The 25,948-nt window shown below is 43.9% G+C and overlaps 1 protein-coding gene across 5 annotated transcripts, besides 5 other annotated features; it reads left to right on the top strand.

Annotated features, from left to right (window-relative positions):
• Positions 7,507 to 8,473: an enhancer, noted in NCBI's record as "H3K27ac hESC enhancer chr15:78592117-78593083 (GRCh37/hg19 assembly coordinates)". NCBI's record gives its function as "activates a minimal SCP1, AML or CMV promoter by ChIP-STARR-seq in primed H9 embryonic stem cells {active_cell/tissue: H9 hESC(primed)}" and the evidence as "EXISTENCE:reporter gene assay evidence [ECO:0000049][PMID:30033119]".
• Positions 8,242 to 8,331: an enhancer, noted in NCBI's record as "active region_9915". NCBI's record gives its function as "activates an Ori minimal core promoter by ATAC-STARR-seq in GM12878 lymphoblastoid cells {active_cell/tissue: GM12878}" and the evidence as "EXISTENCE:reporter gene assay evidence [ECO:0000049][PMID:35858748]".
• Positions 8,474 to 9,441: an enhancer, noted in NCBI's record as "H3K27ac hESC enhancer chr15:78591149-78592116 (GRCh37/hg19 assembly coordinates)". NCBI's record gives its function as "activates a minimal SCP1, AML or CMV promoter by ChIP-STARR-seq in primed H9 embryonic stem cells {active_cell/tissue: H9 hESC(primed)}" and the evidence as "EXISTENCE:reporter gene assay evidence [ECO:0000049][PMID:30033119]".
• Positions 8,572 to 8,921: an enhancer, noted in NCBI's record as "active region_9914". NCBI's record gives its function as "activates an Ori minimal core promoter by ATAC-STARR-seq in GM12878 lymphoblastoid cells {active_cell/tissue: GM12878}" and the evidence as "EXISTENCE:reporter gene assay evidence [ECO:0000049][PMID:35858748]".
• Positions 8,639 to 25,013, top strand: SKIC8 (SKI8 subunit of superkiller complex). Of its 5 annotated transcripts, none has more exons than NM_025234.3 (11): positions 8,639 to 8,686; positions 12,523 to 12,573; positions 13,275 to 13,302; positions 14,976 to 15,081; positions 15,460 to 15,632; positions 18,149 to 18,297; positions 18,536 to 18,629; positions 19,866 to 19,959; positions 22,115 to 22,207; positions 22,909 to 22,987; positions 24,727 to 25,013. In NM_025234.3, exons 2-11 carry the CDS (start codon positions 12,562 to 12,564, stop codon positions 24,814 to 24,816), a joined length of 918 nt encoding a protein of 305 aa, NP_079510.1. In that variant the 5' UTR covers positions 8,639 to 8,686; positions 12,523 to 12,561; the 3' UTR covers positions 24,817 to 25,013. The 5 variants fall into 5 exon arrangements, with proteins under 5 accessions (NP_079510.1, XP_011520396.1, NP_001290176.1 ...); XM_011522094.3 differs by having other exon boundaries at positions 12,455 to 12,573; NM_001303247.2 differs by having other exon boundaries at positions 8,639 to 8,792.
• Positions 19,880 to 20,124: a silencer, noted in NCBI's record as "fragment chr15:78580466-78580710 (GRCh37/hg19 assembly coordinates)". NCBI's record gives its function as "represses an EF-1alpha promoter that drives an FKBP-Casp9 reporter gene in an ReSE screen in HepG2 liver carcinoma cells {active_cell/tissue: HepG2}" and the evidence as "EXISTENCE:reporter gene assay evidence [ECO:0000049][PMID:32094911]".
• Positions 25,014 to 25,948: the final 935 nt, after the last annotated feature.

Raw genomic sequence — 25,948 nt, 5'->3', positions numbered from 1 at the left:
CTGCCTTGCTGGCTGAATGACCCTGCAGAAGCCACTTCGCCTTTCTCAGGGTCAGTTTCCTTCTCTGTGTGAAACAGGGTGACTCCCTCCTCCGTAGCACTAGCGAGAGTTATTTCTCAGGGCGTGGCCCAGTCCATACATCCACCATCACAGCTCTCCCAGTGTTTGAAACCAAAATTAAAATTTGAAGACATTAGTGTCTCCAAAGTGGAATGTGTATACCCCAGACAGTGAGCAAGACCGTCTGGAGTATAGGAAGAAAATATTAGATCTTCTGATATTTATTTTTATCTTGTCCCTCTTCTATTTTTATATTTGTTTTATAATGTACATAAATATTATAGTAGTATAAATACATATATATTTATAAATAATGTACACACAGGAGAATGCATGGTGATAATTTTTTGTTTTTAATTAATTAATTTATTTTTTTCGTGAGAGAGGGTCTTGCTCTGTCACCCAGGCTGGAGTGCAGTGGCACCATCTCAGCTCACTGCAGCCTCTGCCTCCGGGCTTAATAGATCCTCCTACCTTAGCCTGCTGAGTGGCTGGGACCACAGGCATGTGCCACCACACCTAGCTAACCTTTTTTACATTTTTGCAGGGAGGGGTTTCATCATGTTGCCCAGGCTAGTCTCAGACTTATGAGCTCAAGTGATCCACCTGCTTCGGCCTCCCAAAGTGCTGGCATTACAGGCATGAGCCACCGTGCCCAGCCAGTAATAAATTTTTAATAATAGGTACATGTGGTCACTGCTTTAGAAAAGAGGAGGCATAACTTTCTAGAAGTTTCCTTGTGAGGAAATGCTCAGAGTGGCTGATTGCTGGGTGAAGTCTGGAAGTTGCCCTGGCTATAAACTTCAGAGATGTAAATACCCTTAGCCATCTGGCAAGCTAGTGAGGAAAAGAGACCTGGGGGCTTTCAGGGCCTTCCCTAACAGTGGGCTGTATGTTTGAGACGTCCCAGAATGGCAATTGTAAGAGTAATCCTAGCTGGCATTTATTGAGTGTTTTCCTTGTGCCAGGCACTGTTCTAAGCATTTTACATATTTTAACTCTATTAATCCTCATATCAGCCCTAAAAGGAAAGTTCTAGTATTATCCCCATTTTAGTGATATCCCAGTGGGGTTACATAATTTACCAGAGCCTTGGGTGGAGCAGCCAAGATTGAGCCCAGGCATTGTGCTCTAGAGGCCAAGTTGTTTAACCCCTTTGTGCCAAAACTGGAAACAAAAAGCGCCTGGGGCCTATCTGGTGGGGCATGGAGGAGAGAAGGAGGTGCTGCTTGATGAAAGCGGGGAAGCTTGTGGGGCAGAGTGAGGGTGGCATCTGTAGAAGGAGAGGGGCACCACATGAGACACTGTGGCCCGCAGGAGGGGAGGGAAGAGGGGGACTAGGAAGAAGGAGAGTCGGGTGTCAGCTGTGGGGTCCAGAGAGGAAACCTGGGATAAACATCAGAAAGGGCAGGTGGGGTCCCTGACATCAGACTCTGCCAGCTGGGGTTCTGAGGAGAGCCTTGAGAGCTCTACACAGGGCAGATGTGGCCCATGGACCTCCCTCTCCTTCTCCCTGTGCTGAGCAGAGAGCAGGACTTTTGCCTGCACCCCTCTCCAGACCTGCTGATTCATGTCTTTCCCGGGAAGTCAAGTAAGCCTTCCCGGAACTGGGGCGGAGGCAGCTCTTCCTCCCAAGGAGGTAGTGAGCTCCCTGTCCTTGGAGGTATTCAAACAGAGGCTGGATGATCCCATGGTGGGGTTGTATAGAGGGAGAGAGGTATGAGATAGATCTGTGAGGTTCTTCTTCATTCAGAAATGCTTGGACCTGTGACTGAGTGGAGAGGAGAAGTATAGGGGTAAGTCCTGGGACACTGTGGCCTAGTATCATTCTTCCTGCTTGAGCCTCTCTGTGGGTCTGCTCTATGCAGGGCTAGTTGGAAAGGCAGTGAATGACTCAGGGAACAATTATGTCCCTGTGGGGCTGCAGCCTTAGAGGGGGCCTCCCAACCTTGGCCTCTTTATGAATTGTAGAGCTTTTCAGGGCAGCCCTTACATCTTGGAGCTACTTCATCATTAGCCTGGATGTTTACCTATCTTATTCTAAAATCTTTTCATTTCCTCCTGACCTGGAAGACCAGAACTCTAATTACAGATGTTTAAATGTCACATACAATGGCAAGTCTCTCCAGATTTGCTTTACAATGGGCATTCCGTGGATCTGTGAACTTTGATAGGAAAATAATTATATCTTTATTTCCCTTAAACTGTAACTGGAATTTAATATCTTCTTTAATTATAAATGTATGCAATAAATCTAGGAGTATTAGTAGTACCTGTGACTTTGTCACCAATACAAATCACAAATATTTTCGTATCACATTGCAGCTGTTGCAAGTAATTCTAAATATTGTTTATGCTCACTGCTACTTTAAAATTACAGAACAGGCTGGGAGCCATGGCTCATGCCTGTAATCCCAGTACTTTGGGAGGCTGAAGTGGGCAGATCACCTGAGCCCAGGAGTTTGAGACTAGCCTGGGCAACATGGCAAAACCTCTTCTCTACCAAAAAAAAAAAAATTACAAAAATTAGCCGGGCATGGTGGCACATGCCTGTAGTCCCAGCTACTTGGGAGGCTGAAGCGGGAGGATCGCTTAAGCCTGGAAGATTGAGGCTGCAGTGAGCAGTGATTGCGCCACTGCACTCCAGCCTGGGTGACAGAGCGAGACCCTGTCTCAAAAATAAAATAACAGAAGATATTAGACATGCTGCATTAATAAAGCACATATACTACTGTTTCACAAATATTTTGATAACTACTTTGATATAATTGGTTTCCTTTGTAATCCTATGTGGCTTGTTCTTATGTACTTGAAAACATTATTCTGCCCCACCTGGCTGTTCTGTGATCTCATGACCTTTGAGTGGGAACTCAGACTCAGGAGGGCTGCTGCCAGCACTGGCCCAAATGACTTCGGTGGTTTTTACAGCACGCTGGAGAGAATCTGAGAGGATTCCCTGGCAGGAATTTGAGGATTATCTGGGTGATGCATCAGTGATTACAATTTTGTTTTTACCAGTTTTGCTAAGCAGCAGCAATAGCAGAGGTGATTAAGAAAAATGAAAGAAAAAAATGCAAAAAGAGAACAGGCAGAGACGGTGGTAGCTGCTTTCTTGATGTTGATACTGAGGGCCAAGCTTTCCACCACCCCCTTGTAGTTGCAGAAAGCCTCAGATGTAATGGTAGTGTTACGGGATCTTTGGACGGGTGTGGGAGGTATTGATTTTCTTCCTGGGAGCGCCTTTGCCTGAGTTCTTGTCCTGTGTCCAGGAATAATGAGGTACTCGAAGAACTTACTGAGTGTTAAGCAGCTCAGAGAAGACCCGCAGTGGGTAGCTCCTCTGAGCAAGTCATCCCATGGAGTGTTCAGCTCTCAGCAGACAGGAGGCCTGGAGAGGGTAGCTCCCCCTCTGCCCACTGGTTATCCTGCCACCTGCTGCTCTCAGCAGAAAGAAGACCCAACCCTGGAGAGGGGAGCTGCTCTCAGCAAAAAGAAGACCTCACCCTGTAGAGGGGGGCTGCTCTCAGCAGAGAGAAGACCCAACCCTGGAGAGGGGGACTGCTCTAGGGGATCCTGGCGGGGGGTGCTCCTGGAGAAGGAGGCTGTTCTGGGGGATCCTCTCCTCAGGTCATTTGGAAGTCTCTACAGGAGGAGGGGGGCCTCCTCTCCGCAGGTCCTTTGAAAGGCTCTGCAGGTCTCTGCAGCTCTGGCAGAGAGGGTAGCTCCTTTCTACAGCTACTCTTCCCGCTGTCTCTCCATCCTCTCCTGCAGTTTGGCTGAGCCCAGGGCTTTTATGGACCTCAGAAGGGAGGAAGTGTGTGCTGACTGGCCCATGGGCGGCCATGGGTGAGCCTGGAGGAGGCACCACAAGCTCCCACTCAGGTCTGTGGGACTGGCAGCCTGGTCCCCAGTCTTCAGTCCCTCCCTGACCTGAAGGTGGGGCCTTACTGGAGACCTACCCCCTTCTGCCCAGGAATCGATCTGCCTCCTACTGTCATTCATGGCCCCTGGGGCTTGGCCCCAAGCCCTGCTCCATGATCAGAGCAGGGGCGGCAGCAGAGAGAGGCCAGGCAGCAGGAACAGACACCCCCTAGCGACGGGGTGCGGTGGGGTCCTTTCTGGGGTCCACGAGGGTGCAGGCTGCAGAGACCCTCTGGGTCCTGCACCTAGGAGGGCAGATCTTGCCTGCTCCCAGCCCCCTCCAAGAGCACCGGGAGGCTCGGATCCACAGCCGCTGTTTGGGCAGTTGTAGCCCCGCCCAGGAGGGTGGCGACCCTGCCTGCTCCGTAAAGCAGGAGGCCTGGATCTGCAACTGCTGTTTGGGCGGCTGCAGCAGCACCTGGGGAGCTCTCCCCAACTCAGAAGGGGGAGGCATCCACCAGCATGCAGCCCCAGCTGTGCCTCCCTGCCGCAGCCCGGTGATGGCAGCAGCTACTGCAACAATAGTGTAAACAGTGGCCGGGCGCGGTGGCTCACGCCTGTAATCCCAGCACTTCGGGAGGCCAAGGCAGGTGGATCACGAGGTCAGGAGATCGAGACCATCCTGGCTAACACAGTGAAACCCCGTCTCTACTAAAAAAAACACAAAAGAAAATTAGCCGGGCGTGGTCGCGGGGGCCTGCAGTCCCAGCTACTCAGGAGGCTGAGGCAGGAGAATGGCGTGAACCCAGGAGGCGGAGCTTGCAGTGTGCCGGGATCGCGTCACTGCACTCCAGCCTGGGCGACAGAGCGAGACTCTGTCTCAAAAAAAAAAAAAAAAAAAGGGTAAACATTTTGAACTGTATGCATTATTATATCAAGGAGTAGCATATCTTGCATGAATGCTCTCTTTTGTGTCTAGGTATTCTAAACACTCTTAATGTGAAAATGAAGTGCATGTAGCAAAAACCTTTTATTATAAGAAACTTTACAACACTTGTGAAAAAAATTAAATTTGGTTTGTGCACAGTGTAACCTTTCTCCAGATATTGTCCAAAATTACACACGCACAAACCGTTCACCCTAATTAGGCGTTGGCCTCAACCTAAACATCTGGGACTGTTATCTATTAAACTGCTGCCAGAATCTTACATCCAGTTACCTCCACTTTCTAGAACATATTCTCTAATAATGCCATAGAAACCAATTTCTACTCCATACTGATGTTTTTTTGCAACAGCAATTAAAATTTTTTCTTCCAAAAAACCCCATTGTTCTGGGACAGGATTCATTGGTTTCATCAGATGCCTGAGACGTCCACAGTGTAAAAAAGGCCAATTATTCTAGCTTTATAGTCCCAATGCTAAGGTCATGCCAATGATCCCATATGTCTGGCCCTCTGGGGGAATGTGGTGAAAGTAGGTACTTAATACATCCTTTTTGAATGAATGGTTTGGAGTTCTTGTCATAATTATAGAATTATAAAGCTGGAAAGTCTTTAGAAAGTCTTTATTACAATGATTTTCAAAGTGTTTGGCCATGACTCATAGCAAGAAATGGATTTTCACTTGTGACCCAGTAACCGCATGGGTGAAACAGTTTTTATAAAACATGATGTAACTTTACTATGTATGATGCACTCTTATATCTTCTATTCTACTTCTTTCTTAATGTATTCCATTTCTCTTTTTTGAGATGATTAATTGAATTTTTATCCAAAACAACTGGCTTCAATTGAAAATTATTAGTAGCAGATTTGGGAGCAAGTAAACAGAAATGGAAAGCCTTAGTATTTGGCTTAATTATTCTAAAAGCACACTGATCACATTTATGCTTTTTTAATTTTAAATTTTAATTAAATTTTAAGTTAAAAGGCATAAATGTGATCAGTGTGCTTTTAGAATAATTTGAAGGTGGGGTATTTAAAGTTAATGTGTAGAAAAGAAAAAAAACCTTACATAACCCCAGATCACACAAATTAAAATTCACTTAGTCATACAGTTGTGAGCACTTTTGACAGCCAAAATTTCACCCTTCTTAAAGTAGGAGTCTTTCAAAAATACTTCTTCATATTCAAAAGCTAAAAGTTAGAGTGAAGATGGCCCAATTATCTCGGTGTGGGAGAGGTTACATAATAATCTATTTCCAAAACCCACAAAAACCCGTAAATGTCACCAACAAAAACAAAGCAGCAGATTGGCCAAAACTAAGGCAACTGGTTATACAGGAAGGCAGCAGGTCACTCATTTAACTGCTAAAAGCCATTGCTTTGTAGTACTAATGTTAATTCCTTTCCACACTTCAGGAACCCACATCCCAGCCATTGCAGGGTCAGTTTCTGTGTATTTAGCTCTGTGGAATGTGCCCGAACACCAGTCAGCACTTAAGTCAATCTAAGTTTGAAAATCAGCTCACTGGCTTCATGATATAATTTGTACATTCTTCCTTAGCTTCAGGGGCACATGCCTGACCCTGGTCCAATAGATCCAGAATGGTTACAAGGATATCTTGACTTATAAGAGATGCCACATAAGAATTTTGACAATTCAGTCTTGAAGTCTGCTCACTTTGACCCAAACTTTTTAAGCCAGTGACATGCAGAGGGTCCACTGGGGCTGGATGAAATTTCTATGGACAGAGATGTCACAGAGCTGGGAAGGAGAGAAATAGCTCTCCAGTCAATGTGACTGAGAAAAATTAGTCATATCACTCTGAAACATGTGAACTTGAGGGTTAAGGATGCTGGCATGCAGGGAAGTCATGTGTGCAGCAGAAGAGCTGCAGGATGTCTTCTCTTTTGTGTTAATGTGAGATTACTGAGGACAAGAGAATAGGTCCTGGGAGATGTGGGTGTATTTGCCAATTTCTCACCACACATAGCCTCCTCAAAAAGCCCCCAAAGATGGCCAGGTGCAGTGGCTCATGCCTGTAATCCCAGCAACTTGGGAGGCAGAGGTGGGTGGAGCACCTGAGGTCAGGAGTTTGAGACCAGCCTGGCCAACATGGTGAAACCCCGTCTCTACTAAAAAAAAAAATACAAAAAAAAATTAGCCGGGTGTGGTGGTGGGTGCCTGTAGTCCCAGCTACTGGGGAGGCTGAGGCAGGAGAATCACTTGAACCCAGGAGGCAGAAGTTGTAGTGAGCCGAGATTGCGCCACTGCACTCCAGCCTGGGTGACACAGCAAGACTCAGTCTCAAAAGAAAAAAAAGCCCCCAAAGATGAACTTCACCTAGTTGTAAGTGGTCTAATAGTCCTCCGTCTCTCTCTCTATATATATATTTGAACTTCAAAACTAGTTTTTTCGAAAAATATTTTTTAGAGCCAGGGTCTCACTCTGTCACCCAGGCTACAGTGCAGTGGCCCAATCATAGCTCACTGCAGCCTCAAACTCCTGGGCTCAAGTGATCCTCACTTCTGCCTCCTGAGCAGCTGGGTCTACACGTGCACACCACTGCGTCTGTAACTTTAAAATTTTTTGTAGAGATTGGGTCTCGCCATGTTGCCCATACTGGTCTTGAAATCACGGCCAGAAGCAATCCTCCCCCCTTGGCCTCCCAAAGTGCTGGGATTACAGGAGTGAGCCACCACATCTGAGCCACAGGGCGGCCTCCATAATGGGGCATGAGCCTCTTCCCATCTTTTTTTGTTGTTGTTATTCGAGACAGTCTCACTCTGTTGCCCAGGCTGGAGTGCAGTGGTGTGATCTGTGCTCACTGCAACTTCTGCCTCCAGGGTTCAAGCGATTCTCCTGCCTCAGCCTCCCAAGTAGCTGGGATTACGGGCACATGCCACCACACCCGGCTAATTTTGTTTTTGTTTCTGTTTTTTTTTTTTTTACTTGAGACGGGGTTTCACCATATTGGCCAGGTTGATTTCAAAACTCCTAACCTCAAGTGATCCACCCACTCCGACTCCCAAAATGCTGGGATTACAGGCATGAGCCACCACACCCAGCCCCATCTCTTTTTTTTTTTTTGAGACGGGGTCTAGTTCTGTTCCCCAGGCTGGAGTGCAGTGGCGTCATCACGGCTCAATGTAGCCTCAACCTCCAGGGCTTAAGCGATCCTCCTGCCTCAGCCTCCCAAGTAACTGGAACTACAGGCATGTGCTAATTGTTTTTATTTTTAGTAGACACGAGGTCTCTCGCTATGTTGCCCAGGCTGGTCTGGAAACCCAGAGCTCAAGCAAGCCTCTCACCTCGGCTCCCAAAGTCCTGGGATTACAGACGTGAGCTACTCTGCCTGGCCCTCAAAAAAAAAAAAAAAAAAAGTCAGTTGACAACCTATTAAACTGATATCTGTCACGTTAATGGGTCATGACTAGCAGTTTGAAAGACAAAGCTCGATTTCACTGAATTTATTTCAGCAACAGAAGTTATTAGCTTTAGTCCAATCTCAAAAGTACAAAATGAAATTGCAACACAAACCTCTAAACCTGCAGTTGCCGGAAGCTAAACGTCTGCGCTTCCGGAAGCAAATTTCCAACTACCACTCCTCTGGAAGCAGGACCTGGCTTCCTCCCTCCTCTCTCCGCCCACCCTCGTCGGCGTCTGCCCCGCGCCCGCCATAGCGACGGCAACGGGCGCTGCGGAGTGCTCCGAGCCGTGAGGGCGGGGCCGGCGCGATGCCCCGCCCCTTCGATAGCTCATCTTTGCGCGTCGCAGTCGCGCGGAGCCCGGCTTCCGACGTGCAGCCTGGCAGTGCAGTGGTGAGTTGGAGCGCAGGGCCGTTGGGGATTGGGGTCATTAGGGCCGTTGACAGTCCAGGCCAGAGGGCGAGTGAGCGAGGTTGGGCCCGAGGCTGCCTGTAAGCAGGTCCGTTCAGGGATGCTCCAGGCCCTGGGGCCTGAGGGTGGCTTCCATGGCTCCATTTGCCCTGGCTGTTCCTCGGTGTACGGGGCCTGAGGGGAGTGGGGGAGGCCCGTGGGTGGCCTCCTTTTGCGTCCTGAGAATGTTCTGGGCAGTATCGAGATTAGGGCTGGTTTCTCTGCGGAGGAGATCATTTATCCGTAGCTGGGAGGGCTGTATTAACCGAAGTTTTCCAGTAGTGGGCCACGCTGTCTTAGGTAGCGTGCTGGACAGATACAGACATCACTGGACGGGTACAGACAGAGGCTGGGTTCGCTTTACGCCAAGTACCGTGCAATACTGTGGGCTGTTGACTTGCCTGAGTAGTTTCATAGAGGCATCTGTAGTGTTCCTTGGAAACACTGAGTCAGTGATGAATTCTGCCTAGGAAATTTAGGGAAAAGTTTCCCAAAGAGAGAAGATGGCAAGAGAGGGCTAAGGTCTAAAGTCTCTTAGCTCTGACCTTCATAAGACCCTGAAGTAAGAGGTAGTGTATCTTGGTAGCCTATACTATAGCTTGTATCCACCTTTTAGTGTCCCTTGGGGAAGCTTCCTTAACCGCTTCTAAGCCTCCCTTTTCTTACTAGAAAAGTGGAACTGATAATAAAAAAATAGTAGTTCCCCCCTTATCTGCGGGGTGTACGTTCCAGTGGATGTCTGAAATCTTGGATAGTGAAGGACCCTGACTGACTTACCGTGGTTTGACTTACAATTTTTCAACTTTACATAGGTTTATTGGGAAGTAACCCCATTGTAAGTTGAGGAGCATCTATACTGTGTTTTTTCTCATACAGATTACACATACATACCTGTGATTACTTAGTTTAATTCGTAAATTAGGCACAATAAGAGAATAACAACAATAATAATAAAATAGAATTATAACAGTGTAATAAAATGTATGTGAATGTGGTCTCTCTCAAAATATCTTACTGCACTCTACTCACCTATTTTTGGACTACGGTTGACCTCTGGAACTGTGGAAATCAAAACCTCAGCTAAAGAACTACTGTACCTAGTAAGCGGGGTTATGAGGTTTCAGTGAGCTAAATCTTTGTGTATTACTTAAAATAGGACCGGATTCATTGTACATCCTCAAATGTGCACTCATTGATAGAATCACACCCTTGTCTTTTGGAGCCCGGGTTTTTGGAAGCTGGCTTACCGCAAGCCTTCCTCCTTTTTTTGTTTCTATCCATTGCCAAATGTGAGGCCCAGAATGACAGGGAAGAGGACAAGCCTGTGCTTCAGCAGGCAGAAGGCTGTGCTGAAGCAGAGGTTGAATACCATTCCCATTAGCCAAACTGGCTTGAGCACTTTCCTGTCTTTCCTACCCTGGGCAGAAAGAACCCTGTTCATGGGTCACAAATGAATAAAACACTACCAACCTGTCTGTAATCCCAGCACTTTGGAAGGCCAAGACAAGAGGATCGTTTGAGGCCAGGAGTTTGATACCAGCCTGGGCAACATAATGAGAACTTGTCTTTACAAAACCAAAACAAAACACTACCAATTTGAGATCTTCATAGGCAAGGATTAGTTATAAATTGTTTGTTTGTTTGATTTCCTGTTATTGGAAAACCTTCGGCAGCTTTTTAGGCTGGCAGATTTAAAGAAAGTAACCTGAACCTGGATGCCTTAACTGTGTGGTCCCTTAAACTGCCAATGGGTAGAATTGCGAGGGCCGTGAACTTGGCTGAGAGGAAAAATTGCATCTTTATGTTTCCTAACCTCCAACTGAAATTTAGCATTTTCTTCCACTGTGAATGTAGGCAACAAATCACATTATTAGCAGTGTGACTTTGTTATGAATATAAATTATAGATATTTTCATATCATGATATTGTGTAAGCTCATTGCAACTTCGAAATTATGGTAGTTATTAAATTTGCTTCTAGATCACATATATAATGTGTCAGTAAAGAAGCACATATGTTTTTGTATTTTGATAAAATTTTAGCATACAGTCTATCCTCATTATTTGTGGATTCTGTATTTATGAATTCACCTACTTACTAAAATTTGTCTGTAGCCCTCAAATTAATACTTACAATGCTTTTGTGGTCTTTGGAAGACATGACATTTTTTCACGTGAAAAATTTTAGTTGCCTGATGCACATGTTCTCAACTGAAGTCAAACAAGGTGACACTGCCTTCTTGTCAACTCTCATATTGTAAGCAAATGTCATTTTTGCAGTCTTTGGTGCTACATTTTTCTCATCTTTGTGCTTTTTGTCGGTGATTCCACTGTTTGAGATAGCCCCCAAGCATAGTGCTGAGGTGCTTCTAAATGCAAGAAGATTGTGATTTGTCTTATGGAGAAAATATGTGTGTTAGATAAGCTTTGTTTAGGCATGAGTTCAGTATTAATGAATTACTAATGTATATTCAGTAAGTGCCTTTAAACATAAACACACATAAAACATGATTATGTATTGATTGGTTGACAAGAATGTGCCCAGAGGCTTTCAGGAACCTGTTTCCCCAAGGAACAGTGGTTCTGTGTTGGATAATTTAGTGTCTGTAGCGACTTCATAGAACATAATTGTTGTGAATAATGAGAACCTACTGTAATTGGTTTCATTTCTAAACCTGTGTATTTTCTGTAAAGACATCCTGAGCCTGAGTCTGGTGGCTCATACCTGTAATCCCAGCACTTTGGGAGGCCAAGACAGGAGGATTGCTTGAGCCCAGGAGTTCAAGACCAGCCTAGGCAACATAGGGAGACCCCATCTCTACAAAAAATTAAAATATCCAGACATGTTGGCACGCACCTGTAGTCCCAGCCACTCGGGCTGAGGTGGGAGCAAGACTTGGCCTGGGAGGTTGAAGCTGCATTGACCATGATTGTGCCACTGCACTCCAGTCTGGGTGATGGAGCAAGACCCTATCTCGAAAAAAAAAAGTCCGCCAAAGGGGGTCTTTGGCACACACAAAGAAATAAGAACCATTAGCCCTTAATGTAGCCTGAGAAATTAGATCTATCCTTTTTTTTTTATTTTTTATTTTTATTTTTTAAGATGGAGTCTCGCTCTGTCACCCAGGCTGGAGTTCAGTGGCACAATTTCAGCTCACTGCAACCTCCGCTGCCTAGGTTCAAGTGATTCTCCTGCCTCAGCCTCCTGAGTAGCTGGGATTACAGGTGTGCGCCACTACACCCAGCTAATTTTTGTATTTTTATTAGAGACGTGGTTTCACCATGTCAGCCAGGATGTTCTCAATCTCTTGACACGTGTCTCCCTCCAGCTTCTGCCCTTATTTACCTGCCTGTTGGCTCTTAAAGGCATTTTTGGTTGAGACTTTTGCATGTAAAATAAGAACTTTGCCATCTTTGGATTCCCCCATGTTTGTTTGTTTGTTTTTAATAAATAATATTTAATATTAAAAGGAGCTGTGGTTTTTTTCTCTCTAAAGAGCAGGAAAGGACAGAGACTGGTCGCTCTCTGCAGTCACACTTGAGGTGAAGAAACCATGGGATAGAATTAGCTGTTAGTTGAGTCCCTAGGTTCAGAGGAAGAAAGAAGACCATACCACCTGGTAGGGAGTGCGAAGGAGGTTCCAGGGACTGATCCATAGAAGGGTGTCAGAACAACTTCATAATAAAGAGTTGCCTTATTTTCTTGGTCAAGGGGAACTTCCTGTGTGCCTTCTATCCTGATGACACCCCCTCACTGAAATCCTGGTGTTGTTTCCACAGAGCTGTCTGGCCTTTTGTCCTTGATCCTTGGTTAAGGAAATGACCAACCAGGTAAGACCTGTGTTGAAGGGAAAAACATCAATTGGTCTCTTTGCCAAGTTCAAGTCCAGTAGGTTTTCTGGATGTGTAGTCAAGAAACTAGCATCTCATTCTTGCCTGGCTCCTAAAGAGCTGGGTGACCCTGGGTACCTAGTCACCACAGTGTTAGGTGGGACTAGTGAAATGCAAATACTGAGAGGAGGATTGGTTCATCCAAGTCTTTACCACAATTTAGTGAGTAATAGAAGAAGCTTAAAAGATGTTGTACAAAAAAAAAAAAAAAAAGATCAGAATAGGAGATAGAACAGGAGAAACATATCTTTGTAATAAGATTAGGGACAAAGTTAATAGACGGTTAGGCAGGCTGTGTGTTCTTATTGCAGCTGCAAAATTTAAGCTACAAACTGGACTTTGAGCTTCCTTGGTGATCAGAACAGAAAAAGAAAACATAATTTATTGGTCTCTTGTTGAGTGAGTTTGGGTAGTAGGAAGGAGGGGAGAATGTCAGTTTCTTTAAGAATTTTTTTCTGATATGACTGTACAAATCTTGCATGAATGGGAATCAAGGAGCTTGCGGGATGGCCAGGTTGACAGCAGAGGAAGTAACTAACACTGTGGTGACTCTGTCTACTCGGGGAGGAGTGCTTTCTGGAGGCAATGTGAGACATCTGAAATCTGACCATGGGTTTAATGTGGCTTCTGTTCTTTTTTAGTACGGTATTCTCTTCAAACAAGAGCAAGGTAAGTAGCCTGCCTGTTTAAGCAATTCATCTGTGAAAAAAACTGTGTTGTCCCTGGTTTAAGACTTTTGTCATGCTGACCAGACATGCAGTTTTCAAGTATACTCACTTTGCAGAAGAATTGGCAGCTGAAAACAAATACTCTTAAAAAACAGACAACAACAACAACAACAACAAAAACCTGAACAACCAGCTAAAAAAAAAAAGCAGTCATCATGATAGGTTGGGGAATTCTAGGCTGAGGAAAATTTTTCCACCTGAGGAAGACATGATGGAGCTTCCCAGCTGCTGAGGTGGAAGAAGGAAATGCTTTGAGGCTCAAAACTCTGTTAATGCCGGCTCATCTGGGGAGGTGAACGTGAGCCTTTTTCTGAACTCAGAACTTGCTTTGGCCCTTAATGAAAGTGAAGCCTATAATAGTGAAATGAGTTTCTCTTGAGGCCACCGAGTGCATGGGGAGGGCTGGGAGCTGTGCAGCAGTGGCAGTGGCAGGGATGGGAGAGCAGGTGGCAGGTCAGAGTGGGCTGGGATTGTAACTGACCAGTGGTACAGAGCTTTGTACCCAAAAAGGAGCCATGTTTGTGCATGGGCTACTCACCCATCTCATTTCTTCACTATAGCCTCGATGAGTTTGAGAAGGCCTAAGGAATTTGTGGAATGCCTAATAAAAGCTCTTGCTCTCTAAGTAGGTGACATGGAGGTAGTTTGACGTTTAAGCCAAAAGCATCATTCAGGTTAGCTAGTGTAAGTAACTAGTAGGCTAATTGGGCATGCCAGTCAACTACCTTATATGTAGCTATTGTCATCCAGGTGGCAAGTTAGCAGGCTTGAGTTAGGTGAGGTTTGAAATGGAAGCCACAACGCTGTCTGTGGTGCACAGCTGTTTTAAGTTTAATGCCTTTATATTCATATTTTGGGAAGGTATCGCTGGAGAATTGTTGCCAGGCAGGGGTAAAGCCTCCATGTGCACTTGTCACGTTTTTACATCCACACTGGGTCTGCACATACAACAGCATGGCCTACCAAATATGCAGCTTACAGACTTAGACTTAAGGTAGACTTTAATTAATAGAGATTGGATTTGAATCCTAGCACCTCTCATTCCTTGTCTATAAAATGAGGATATTAATAGTACCCACTTCATAGGATTGTTGTAATGTAATAATTGGCCCATTAACCATAATAAAGATACTTGTGGGGAAAGGCAACTTAATATATGGAGGCTATAGTAGGTATTTTCTTTTAGATCTATACTGTTTAGAATTGAACTGCCTGCTTGTTTCGAAAGATCTTTTCGGAGTATCTGTTACCGGGTTTAGGCCTTTTCTTGGTAGGAGGGGGTCTTCCCCACTGGTTTTACTTGTTTTTAGCCAAGTGATAGCCATTGTAGACTCCTATATACCAGATAGCATGCTAAAAGAAAGGACACTGGATTTAGAGTCCGAAGTACTACCTTGTCGCCTGGTAAACATGAGATTTAGGGCAAGTAGCTTCTTCAGAACCTCCAATTTTCATATGTGGCCCCAAAATTTCAATAAAAGCTGTATAGGAAAGCACTTTGTAAAATAGTAAAGCAAATACAAATAAATGTTACCTCACAATTGTTGAACAGTATCTCGGCTTCATTAAGTCGTATGCAAGAAGACTTTATAAATGAAGCACTTTCCATTCTAGCCCATGATGATGCCATTTGGTCAGTTGCTTGGGGGACAAACAAGAAGGAAAACTCTGAGACAGTGGTCACAGGCTCCCTAGATGACCTGGTGAAGGTCTGGAAATGGTGAGTGCCTCTCCCCTAACATACAGCCTTGGAAAATTGGGGGCTGAGGTTTTGCTTCTGAACTCTCCAGTTGCAGTCCGGGAAATACTTTTTTCTAGGCAAGAAAGCAATAGCAATATGGTGGTATAAAACAGCAGCTTATTTTTCCCACTTGTTTTCCTGTTACTCTGTATTAAAGCCCTAAAGTTAAAAAAAAAAAATCTTAAAGTCCTACATTTAAAACCTGGCAGCATTTGGTGTTCTGTAGCTCATTAACTCTTCTCTGATTCTGTATTTCATAGACCATTGGTATTGCATAGTCACAGGGACCCAGAATTTCAGATGCCAGGTAAAGTGTGTTCTTTGTGAAGAAATCCATTTCTCTGTCCCCTGTTGAAGGCGTGATGAGAGGCTGGACCTACAGTGGAGTCTGGAGGGACATCAGCTGGGAGTGGTGTCTGTGGACATCAGCCACACCCTGCCCATTGCTGCATCCAGCTCTCTTGATGCTCATATTCGTCTTTGGGACTTGGAAAATGGCAAACAGATAAAGTCCATAGATGCAGGACCTGGTAAGAGTTTTACTTGTAGGGGAGATAATAGAGGTTCATGATTTCTTTTCCAAAATCTTTAGGGATAGAATGTGTTTTACAGCTCAGAATTTTTTGGATTTGAGAGGGGTGATAATGTGTGCATGAACTGTATTTCACATAATACCCTCAGTGGGGCTGGAAACAGCACTGTAATGAAAGACTAATACCTCTGCAAGTAAACATGAATGTTTACACTAAGGGAGATAAATAAAGGCTATAAATAGCCTTATGTCAATTCAGGTTAGATTTTGCTGCCAAATGAATTTTGGTAGTAAACCTGTAGAAAAAGCTTGTAGTTTCCAGAGCTTTTTGGATTTCAAAACTGCTGGTTTGGCGTTGACCTGTATTTTGCATTTTCCAGAGGTTCTTTATTTGCCATATTCTGAACTGATTCATTCACTGCCTTACGGAAACCTAGAATGTAAAGCATGGGGTCCTTATAGATCTGTATCATGGTCATCTCTACTAATTTTGATTAAAGGGTGTGATTCTTGGTATGTGATACATATGAAACTTTTAAGAAACATCAATTTTTTTTGTTTTAAGTACTGTAGAACAGCATAATCTTGTCCATCAGCCTCAGTAAACATCATCTGAGATGACAGAAATTAATGATGTCATAGGCTGACTAATGTGGAGCAGCAGAGGACATTTCAGGATTCTTTTGAACTTCACATTTACTTATAAATGGCTGCACAACATTCCCCAGCAGAACCTGCTCTGCCAGAATGGGTGGTAACTGCTAGAGGGTGCAGATAGCCTGGCATTTCTCTGGCACACCCCTTTTTGGGTTGATGATAGAAGAGCTGCTTAGGTGTTCCATGAACACAGTTCCCTTGATTGGTGCCCTGGATGGATTCGCCTCCCGCCAGTTATGCTCAGTAGCCACTCTAGGCTGTTCCTGTATTGGAAAGAATGATGGTCCCAGAGTTTTTAAAGAGGCTGGGTTGTCTGGAAACTGAGTGCATTTTCCCTCAGAAGCAATATTTCTTGTCTGTAATTCTTACCACTGGAGCTCTTTTAAGAATATGCCTGCCCAGTCCATATTTTGGATCCACTGAATCATAGTGTTCAGAGTACGTGGGGTGGGATATGTATTTGGAAAAAGCTACCCAGACGCACCCTGACTCCCCTGATGGTTGTCTTTACATGTACCCTTACCCTGCTTACATTACTTACAGAGGACTTGGGTCCCCAAACTATCCTGCAAAGTCTATTAAGACTCCAATATATAAGCATGGTCTTAAGAAAAGAGGAAGAGACAGAACTGTTTCTACCTTTTCATCTTGGGCGCCTAAGCTTTCCCTGGGCTCATAATGCTGGTGTTATTCCATGCTGGTTGTAGCCCTGGGCACAAGGCAGCTGAAGAAATCAGTGCTGGATTGGTTCCAAGTAAAAGGATGGCGTATGTATCTAGCTCACTTTCTCTGATAAACAGTACCTTTTACTGGATATTCTCCAAGTGTGGCAAAGTTTTAAAGGTTACTGTTATGAAAGAAAAAGAAGAGGCCAGGTGTGGTGGCTCACACCTGTAATCCCAACACTTTGTGGGGCTGAGGCGGGTGGATTACTTGAGGTCAGGAATTCAAGATCAGCCTGACCAATATGGTGAAACCCTGTCTCTACTAAAAAATACAAAAAATTAGCTGGACATGGTTGTGTGCACCTGTAGTCCCAGCTACTCAGGAAGCTGAGGCAAGAGAATAGCTTGAACTCGAGATTATGCCACCGTACTCCAGCCTAGGTGACAGAGCAAGACTCAATCTCAAAAAAAAAAAGGAAGAATGGGGTCTGAGAGTTGGATTTATTTTCTTTTTGGATAGGACTCTGCATAAAACTAGACCAGGCCATTAAACAGCCAACAGTTATTTGGTCCAGTAACAAAAGCAAGCATTGCTATTGACAGCTAAAGAGCAGCTAAATTCATCTGAAGGTAAAACTCCTTGGATGAATTTGGGTCTAATGAATGTAGGGAAAATAGACACTTAGTTTCTACCTATCTTGAAAATATGCATGGAGAATCTGAACCACCACACAGGAAGAGAAAAAGAGAAGAGAGACAATCCCCAGTCGTGGAGAAGTAAGGAAGTAGGAGGAAGCGAAGACCATGAGTGTACCAGTCTTTGTGTGGACATATGTTTTCATTAGGAGTAGAATTGCTGAGTATCATGGTAAGTGTTTGTTTTCACTTAAGAAACTGTCAAACTGGTTTTCAAAGTGGCTGTGCCGTTTTACATTCCCACCAGTGTATGAAGGCTCTGGTTTCTCCACATCCTTGCTAACACTTGATATTGTCCTATTTTAATTAAAAATTTAAGAAACCCTTAAACTAAATTTAAACTTGATAAAGAATTAGCATCTTTACAACATAATTTTCTGAATCAGGACACTGCTACTCCGATTTAAAAAGATGTATCCTTTGGTAAAACTTTAGTTTTTAAAATTAAGGCCAAGTCTTTTCACACTGTATTTTTGTCCTTCTTTTTTCTGTTCAGTGGATGCCTGGACTTTGGCCTTTTCTCCTGATTCCCAGTATCTGGCCACAGGAACTCATGTCGGGAAAGTGAACATTTTTGGTGTGGAAAGTGGGAAAAAGGAATATTCTTTGGACACGAGAGGAAAATTCATTCTTAGTATTGCATATGTAAGGAAACATTGCTCTCTGTTCTCCTTCTGATTCTTTCAGTTTACCCTTCCAGCCTGTTGCAGTCCTTGCCACAGATTCTGTCTTGGTCTGGTCAGGCAGCTGCTGTCTCACTGGTGTGGTTTGCCAAGTAGCCAGTTAGACCTGTAGATAGCAGGAGGTTTGCTTGTGTTTGGTAGGGACAGCTTAACAACACGGAGTCTGAAAGTGCTAATTTCTCCATATGTTCTCTGAACAGAGTCCTGATGGGAAATACCTAGCCAGTGGAGCCATAGATGGAATCATCAATATTTTTGATATTGCAACTGGAAAACTTCTGCATACCCTGGAAGGTATATATCATCATCTTATTTTGACAAACTGGGTTATCAAATCACAAAGGAAGAATTATTCTTTCATTGAAATGCCATTAAATGGCAAATGGGCATTAGATTTACAAAATATCAATCTCAATTGGAAAACTGAAATGCCTCCAGGTTTTAGTCTTGTCACTATAGTTTTTTTTGTTTTTTTGTTTTTTTGTTTGTTTGTTTGTTTTCTTTTAGAGACAGGGTCTCGCTCCCAGGCTGGAGTGCAGTGGTGTGATCATAGCTCACTGTAACCTTGAACTCCTGGGCTCAAGGGATCGTCCCACCTCAGCCTCCTGGGTAGCTGGGACTACAGGTGCACACCACGATGTCTGGCTAGTTTTTAAAATTTTTGAGGAGATGGGGTCTTGCTGTTTCCCAGACTGGTCTCTAACTCCTGGCTTCAAGATTTCTTCCTGCTTTGGCCTCCCAAAGTGCTGGGATTACAGACATGAGCCACCATACCTGGCCTGTCACTATAGATTTAACCTAGACATACTAGTTCTTGTAACAGTGTTAAGTGCTTGTTTGGGTGAACAGACTTACTTTTTATTTATTATATCGTAATCTATCACATTATGTATGTGTGTGTTAATATATATTTGCTATATGAATGTCTCATTTCTGTTATTTTGGATTCTGATGAACTTTGTGATTGGAAACAACTTTTTGTTGATAATTTGAAGGTGGATGAAAGTATTGTGCCCACTGTCCACACCGGTGGCCTCTGGAAAGGAGGACTGGGTAGCTAAAGAACAGGGGTAGGTTGGAGGGAGACTTTATTATGCGTACTGTTGTGCTGTTTTGAATTCTAATCAAGTGAATTTATTACGTCCTCACATTGCTATAGTTTATCCTTTATACTATAATAAAGGATTTGATAGGGAAATAATACCTTAATTTGTTCAACCTTACAAATCAGGAGCAATGTATATATCCTTGTGTGGCCATATTTGTAGTAGAAAAGTTATTTAAAGCAATGTATGCTGAGGGCAGGGAAGGGAACTAAGGAGAAATGGCTCTGGGAGGAGATACTGGGGTTATGTGGATGTTTTGAGAACATTAAGAGGAAAGGCCCAATCAGAACTCTTGCTTTTCTGCCTGAAGCACCTGAGCATTTCAACTCAGTGGCTCATAATCATTAAAAGGGGCATTGTCAGTGGGAAGCTGAGTGAGGAGGCAGTGGTTCACCAGATTAACAAGGGCCTTTATGAATTTCAGGCCATGCCATGCCCATTCGCTCCTTGACCTTTTCCCCGGACTCCCAGCTCCTTGTCACTGCTTCAGATGATGGCTACATCAAGATCTATGATGTGTAAGTTACCTTAAAGGCATCTCCCTTACTACTGATGCCCATCTTGTCCCTTTATTGTTACAAGGAGCCCTAGGGAGGAGCCCTAGTAAAGACCTGTGCTCAAGTCACATCAGACACCTTGACTCCCCAGGCGGTCCTCCCCCGTTCAGCGCCCATTTTTAGTGTGTGTCCTCAAGGGCTGCTTGGAGGAGGATGTGCATGGGTTCCCTGGTAGGATCAGATACTTGCTACTTTTTCTCAGGCAGCCTGATTTTTGTGAGCTTACTGATTTCAAATTCTTTGGGATAGGTAAGTAATATACAGATGAGGAAATGGAGCCATGGGCTGTAGCTGGCCCCTGGGGACAGGAAGAAATTAGAGCATCCATTTTCAAGGGTAGGGCTGTTCTAGCAGACATGCCTCTGCCCTAGTTAGGGAGCAGTCAGTTTATAAGCCGCCCTGCTACAGGCCTAGATGGGAGCGTTTTTGGTTTTGGCCCTTGACTGCGAGTATAGAAGCAAGTTAATCATCCTCTTTCATTCACAGCCGTCATTGTAAATCTGTGCGGACCCCTATGTCTTCTTCTTTTCCCCCATCATTTTTAGTCCTGACTCCTATTCCCCACTGAGGTATCCCCTGTAATGTGTTGGATCTGTGTTCTTGATACTATGACTCGGTGCTATGGTCAGCTCTCACTGCCAGGCATGCCTCTGGCTCATTGCTCCCGAACATGGCATTCTAATCCACTGCATGTACATATCACACTCCAACCTTAGCCATGGGTGCCAAGACCTCCTCCACCTGCATGTACTGCAACCCTGACCATCCATGTGTGTCCTTTCAGGGGCCTGTGATAGTTGCTTGGGAGTTTAAACCTCACAGTAGAAACACTGCTCCTTCTAGCCCACTTCTGGTTAAAATGCAGTTTTTTCTGGCAAAAGGTTATCAGCTAGACATAGAATTCTAACTGCAGTTTTTAACTGTAACTGAGTGAGGGTGCTGTAGCCCAGAGGGGAAGATGTCTCTATAGAGTTATACTTGCCTGTTAGTGGCAGAGGCAGTATAAATGCAGCAGTTCCTTACATTTGTGACTTTATGATTTCTATTGCCACTGTTTTATTGATCCTCCCAGCAACCAATGAGGTAGCAGCACAGATTAGTGTCCCCATTTTGCACATGAGAAACCCAAGCTGAGGTGGTTGATTTGCCCAAGGAGGTGGTACTGAATGAAGACCCAAGAATGTTTTTTTCACCCAATATTGATGCATTATTATTAATTAAAGTCTGTAGTTTACATTAGGGTTTACTCTTTGTGTTGTACATTCTATGAGTTTTGACAAAATTATGTGTAGCCACCCCTAACTACAGTGTCACGCAGAATAGTTTCACTGCCCTAAAAATCCCCTGCTCTACCAAATCATCCCTTCCTCCTGCCTTGAGCCCCTATCAACTACTGATCTTTTTACTAAGGCCCAGGACTTTTTACCCTCCCATGGTCCCACTGTATCCCACCTGCCCCCTAGCCCCTAACTGAGGTCTGCTCCACTCTGCTGAGGTCTGTGTTTAGGGGTAAAATTGCTGACCTCAGTTAGGTCTTATGGTGGTTCTCCTGCCAGAGGTGGTTGGGTTTCATTTTTATTAAAAAAGTGAAAATAGCTGTTGTAATTAGACCTGTCTTGTTCTTGATTAGGTTTAAACTGGTCTCTCCAAGCTGCATCTGTCATAATGAATACATCTTGACACTTTCCTTGGACTGGGAGCACTGGCCCCATACGGAAAGGCTGCTGGTGCAGGCAGGAGTCTGAACCTGCCCTTCTCCTCAGATGGCTTCCTTGCCCCGTTGGTTCTCAATTTCCTCATCTGAGGGGTTGGCTTGCGAAGCCTCTGTAGTGTGGTTCTTTGTTCATTTTGAGCTTCAGCTCTTTGCTTGTGAAGGATTTTATTCTTGGCTTTTGGTGGTGTCAACACATTATGGGTTAATGCTACTATTAAAATTTGTCTCTAATGCATGAAGCTACTTCATTGAAAGAGGAATTTTTGATATAGTATTCATGGTCATTATAAGGATAGCAGATTTGGTCCAGCTTATTGGCAGAGTTAATAATATACTTTCCACTTCAGTGATTATACTGTAGAAATTAACATCTCAATTTTGTTTGAAACTTTCCCATTTCAGACAACATGCCAATTTGGCTGGCACGCTGAGCGGCCATGCCTCCTGGGTGCTGAACGTTGCATTCTGTCCTGATGACACTCACTTTGTTTCCAGGTACTTAATGATTCTTAGCAGTTTCTAAAATGCTGGGGAGATGAGAGCAGTCTTCTTGTATAGATTGCCTTAACATTTAAAGATGTTTGACCCTTTTTTATTCAGTTAGCCTTTCTTTTCTGCAGTTCTTAAAATTTTTATTTAGTGATGTTAGTTGACCTTAGCTGGAACAAAAGTCAACAAGTAATCCTTTTAAACAGTAAAACTCTTAGTTTTTTCATTATAAATTGAGGCTTCTACCAAAGTGACTCTAAGGTAGACTTGTGTTCCAATGGTAACTTAAAATATGTAAATGTTTGTAAAATGTTGTTTATAGATCCCAGTGTTGGTCAGGCCTGGGATGGCCAAGACAGTTGGAAAGCAGGAGATGGACAACTTGAAGGCATTGCACAGTGCTTTAGAGGCCTCCTGCGAGCCTTGGTTTTGAAGCTTTAACAGGCCTCCCTCCCATCTGGAAATAGGTAGCTGTGTCTGAGACTCCTGGAGAACAATTAATATGAGGGCCAGGCAGATCACAATTTCAGGAAAATGGCTACCCTGTGAGGAGAGAAAGCCACCCAATGATGCTGATACCTGGCCATTTCCTGTACCGAGGCATGGGGTTGGGGGGTCTGAAGTTAGAAGAATGTAAGTCATCAAAGGATTTTTGGTCGAAGTCCTTCCAACTTCAAACCGATACTAATGTTCACTTTTTAAAATAGTTCGTCTGACAAAAGTGTAAAAGTTTGGGATGTTGGAACGAGGACTTGTGTTCACACCTTCTTTGATCACCAGGATCAGGTATGGCATTATTATTTCATCTTTAGATAGTCGGGGTTGTTTGACCATTGTACCAAAGAGATTTTCTTTTCCTGACCTTGTTGCTTGAGCTGTGGATACCAGTAGATGCCTGGGCCTGAGCTGCTCTATCTGCTCAGTCATCCATGTAGCCAGAGTTCCTGTGCAGAGTCTGGGGTGCAGAGGCTGGGATGTGCTGTCAGCCTAGCAACTCACGAGGCATATCCCCACATAGGCTGGAAAACATGGTGTTAGCCCCACAGCCTTTAAATGCCGTCTTTGGAAATTGCTGCAGCTGGTGTCTGGGGCCCTCTCCTGGGGGCTGCTGCGCCATGGCAGGCTCACCAAGGACCTTCCTCTTCAGGAGATTCCATTGCTTAAACACAATCATCGCTTGTCATTTTTGGGACTGTCCAAAGAAGAGATGTGATTTTTTTTTTTTTAATATAGTAGAAGCTGGAAATTCATACAAGTTTTTTGGCTTTAGTGTTATTGATAACTTTTCAGTCTTTAAAAGGAAACTGTTCTCACAAGCAACTTTATCTTTGCCAAGGTGAATATGTGAAATAGCAAAGGTGTTCTAGTGCAATACTGCTGAGTCTTTCATGTGTGCTCGTATCCCCTGGGAACCTGGTGAAAATGCAGATGCTGCTTCACTAGGTCTGGCAGAGGGCCTGGGATTCTGCATTTCTAACAGGCTTCCAGGTGAGGCCAAGGCTGCTGGTCCTAACCACACTGTAAGGTCTTGGGGAACTGAGCATAAAAAATAAAATGTCCATGGCAATATAATATTGGCTTTTAATATATTTTAAATATTTTTAGATGGTCCTATAGATTTCTCCTCTTTGAAATGGAACTTAAAGTTAACTAACATTGTTCATGCTTATTTTTCAACTTAAATTGTCCCAACAAAATTGAGGGGGTTCTATCTTGATATTCCACTTCTGGATTTAAGCATCTTACTCAGGGAGTAAGTCCTGGCTAGCTGTGTTTCCTTGTATGTATGGATCATTGCGGTGCTGTGTCAGAGGCTGGAGTGAAAGGCCATCATGCAGCCCAATCCCAACACTAAAATCAGAGTAGGGTGACAGGCTTACCACCCAGAATCACCTCCTAATAATCAGGAAGTTATTTATGATTAGAGAAACTCCAACCACATCAATTCTGTCTGGGAAGGAGGTGTGAATCAGTTAATTTAACACATAGCAAATAAAAATCTATGGTCCACAATATCATGTTGTCTAGCTCCTGGGGACAGGCAGGCTCCATAGGCCACTAATAACAGAGTGAGAATTACTGACTGTGGGGGGCGGACACAAGGGGTCAGCTGAGGAGCGCAGTTTGTGACTTTCCCTATAGGCAGTGACCTCGGGGTAGTTGTGGGGCTCTTTCTTCCTGGAAGCATAAATGTTGGTCTCTTATGGCTTCCGTCTTCCTGGCATTAGGTTACACTTCAGGATTCTGACTCTTTGAAAGGGTTGTAGATAGTCTTGATTAGTACTGTATTTAAAAATGATTTTTTTTTTTTTTTTTGGAGTATGGGAAGGGGCAGGAATTCTAATTAAATAGCAATAATGGAAGGTGCTCGGTTAAAGCCTCCATTCTCACTGATTTAGAAAGTACAAGAACATCCTCATCTCAGTTTTGGTAGATTCAGAATAACGAGAAAATAAGGATGTTCATTTCATAAATATTATAAAGAATAAAGGCATTTGTAGAACTATCTTTTTTTAAATTTACAGGTCTGGGGAGTAAAATACAATGGAAATGGTTCAAAAATTGTGTCTGTTGGAGATGACCAGGAAATTCACATCTATGATTGTCCAATTTAAACATCAAAGTCTCCAGGCTTATGCTGCAAAGAGAATGTACGGATTGATCATGACATTCCTTACCTTCTTAGGCTTGTTTAAAAGAAATATAGCATTTATTGTAGCAAAGACTTAAATTTTGTAGATACAATATGAATCTTTTCATGTTTTATTGGAAATGCTGTTCATACTTTAACATAAAGCTTTCTTAATGCAAACACTGGTGTCCTTGAACATGCTTCTTTTTTCAGTTACCCTATTACCAGTGAAACAGTGAGAGGGATTGGCATTAAGAGCAAATCTCTGCCTTAGCCATCAAGAGATCCAGGTATTTCTTTAACTTTCCAGCTTAGAAATACAGGCTGACTCTTCCAGGGAGTTGACTTATGCAGTGAGATACAGCAGCGAGCTCCCCGGAGCTGTGATAAAGAAGCTAATCTATTTTAGAATGGAGTCCTGAAGGAAAGAGTATATTTGACTGCATAGGAACATTATGTACTCCTGTCTATCTGGGCATCCTTCCACTTGATGTATTAAAGATGTCCCCTGCCAAGCCCTCCTTCCCCTTATTAATTTCAGAGAGGTCTCTAACTCGCTAGGTGGGTATCGGAAGGCAGGCTGCTATTCTTGCTGCCTTAACAATGCCTAGGCTGAAGCCTGTGCCTCATGCTGTAGAACTGTAGCCCTGCCTTAGTTATTTCAGAGTATCTGTACCTCAGAGTTTCCTCTTCATCAGCCCCCTTGAGACTCATGTTAATGAGAAAGATGTAAGTAGCTGAACACTTGGAAGCGTGTTTTTTATTGATCATTACTTCATATGCTTATGAGTCAGGTCATGTGCTTTTCCTCAAACCACTCACTGCCCTCAGAATAAAGCTCACACTCTTTATCATAGCCCCCCACTTCTCCCTCCTGCTTGCCTTGCTCACCCTCCTGTAACCACATCATCCTTGCCATTCCTCTGCCTGGAATGTTTTCCCTCCAGACCTTCGGACATCTGCTCCCCAGCTGCATCCAGGATTCTGCCCAGATGCCAGCTCCTGGTAGAGGCCTTCTTCCCATTCCCTTCTACTCATTCCCATTCCTCTTGTTCTTCATAGCAGTTACCACTTTTTGTTTGCATTCACCCCCACCCCCAAAATAAAGCTCCATG

This window comes from Homo sapiens, chromosome 15 (genome assembly GCF_000001405.40).
Source record: "Homo sapiens chromosome 15, GRCh38.p14 Primary Assembly".
Lineage (NCBI taxonomy): Eukaryota > Metazoa > Chordata > Mammalia > Primates > Hominidae > Homo > Homo sapiens.
The sequence above is the reverse complement of the archived record's forward strand: the minus strand, read 5'-3'. Positions and strand labels throughout refer to the sequence as shown.

Coding starts and splice junctions, on each gene's coding strand:
- SKIC8 (NM_025234.3), top strand. Junction 18,298..18,535: donor TCATTCTTAGTATTGCATAT/GTAAGGAAACAT, acceptor TTCTCTGAACAG/AGTCCTGATGGGAAATACCT. Junction 22,208..22,908: donor GACACTCACTTTGTTTCCAG/GTACTTAATGAT, acceptor TTTTTAAAATAG/TTCGTCTGACAAAAGTGTAA.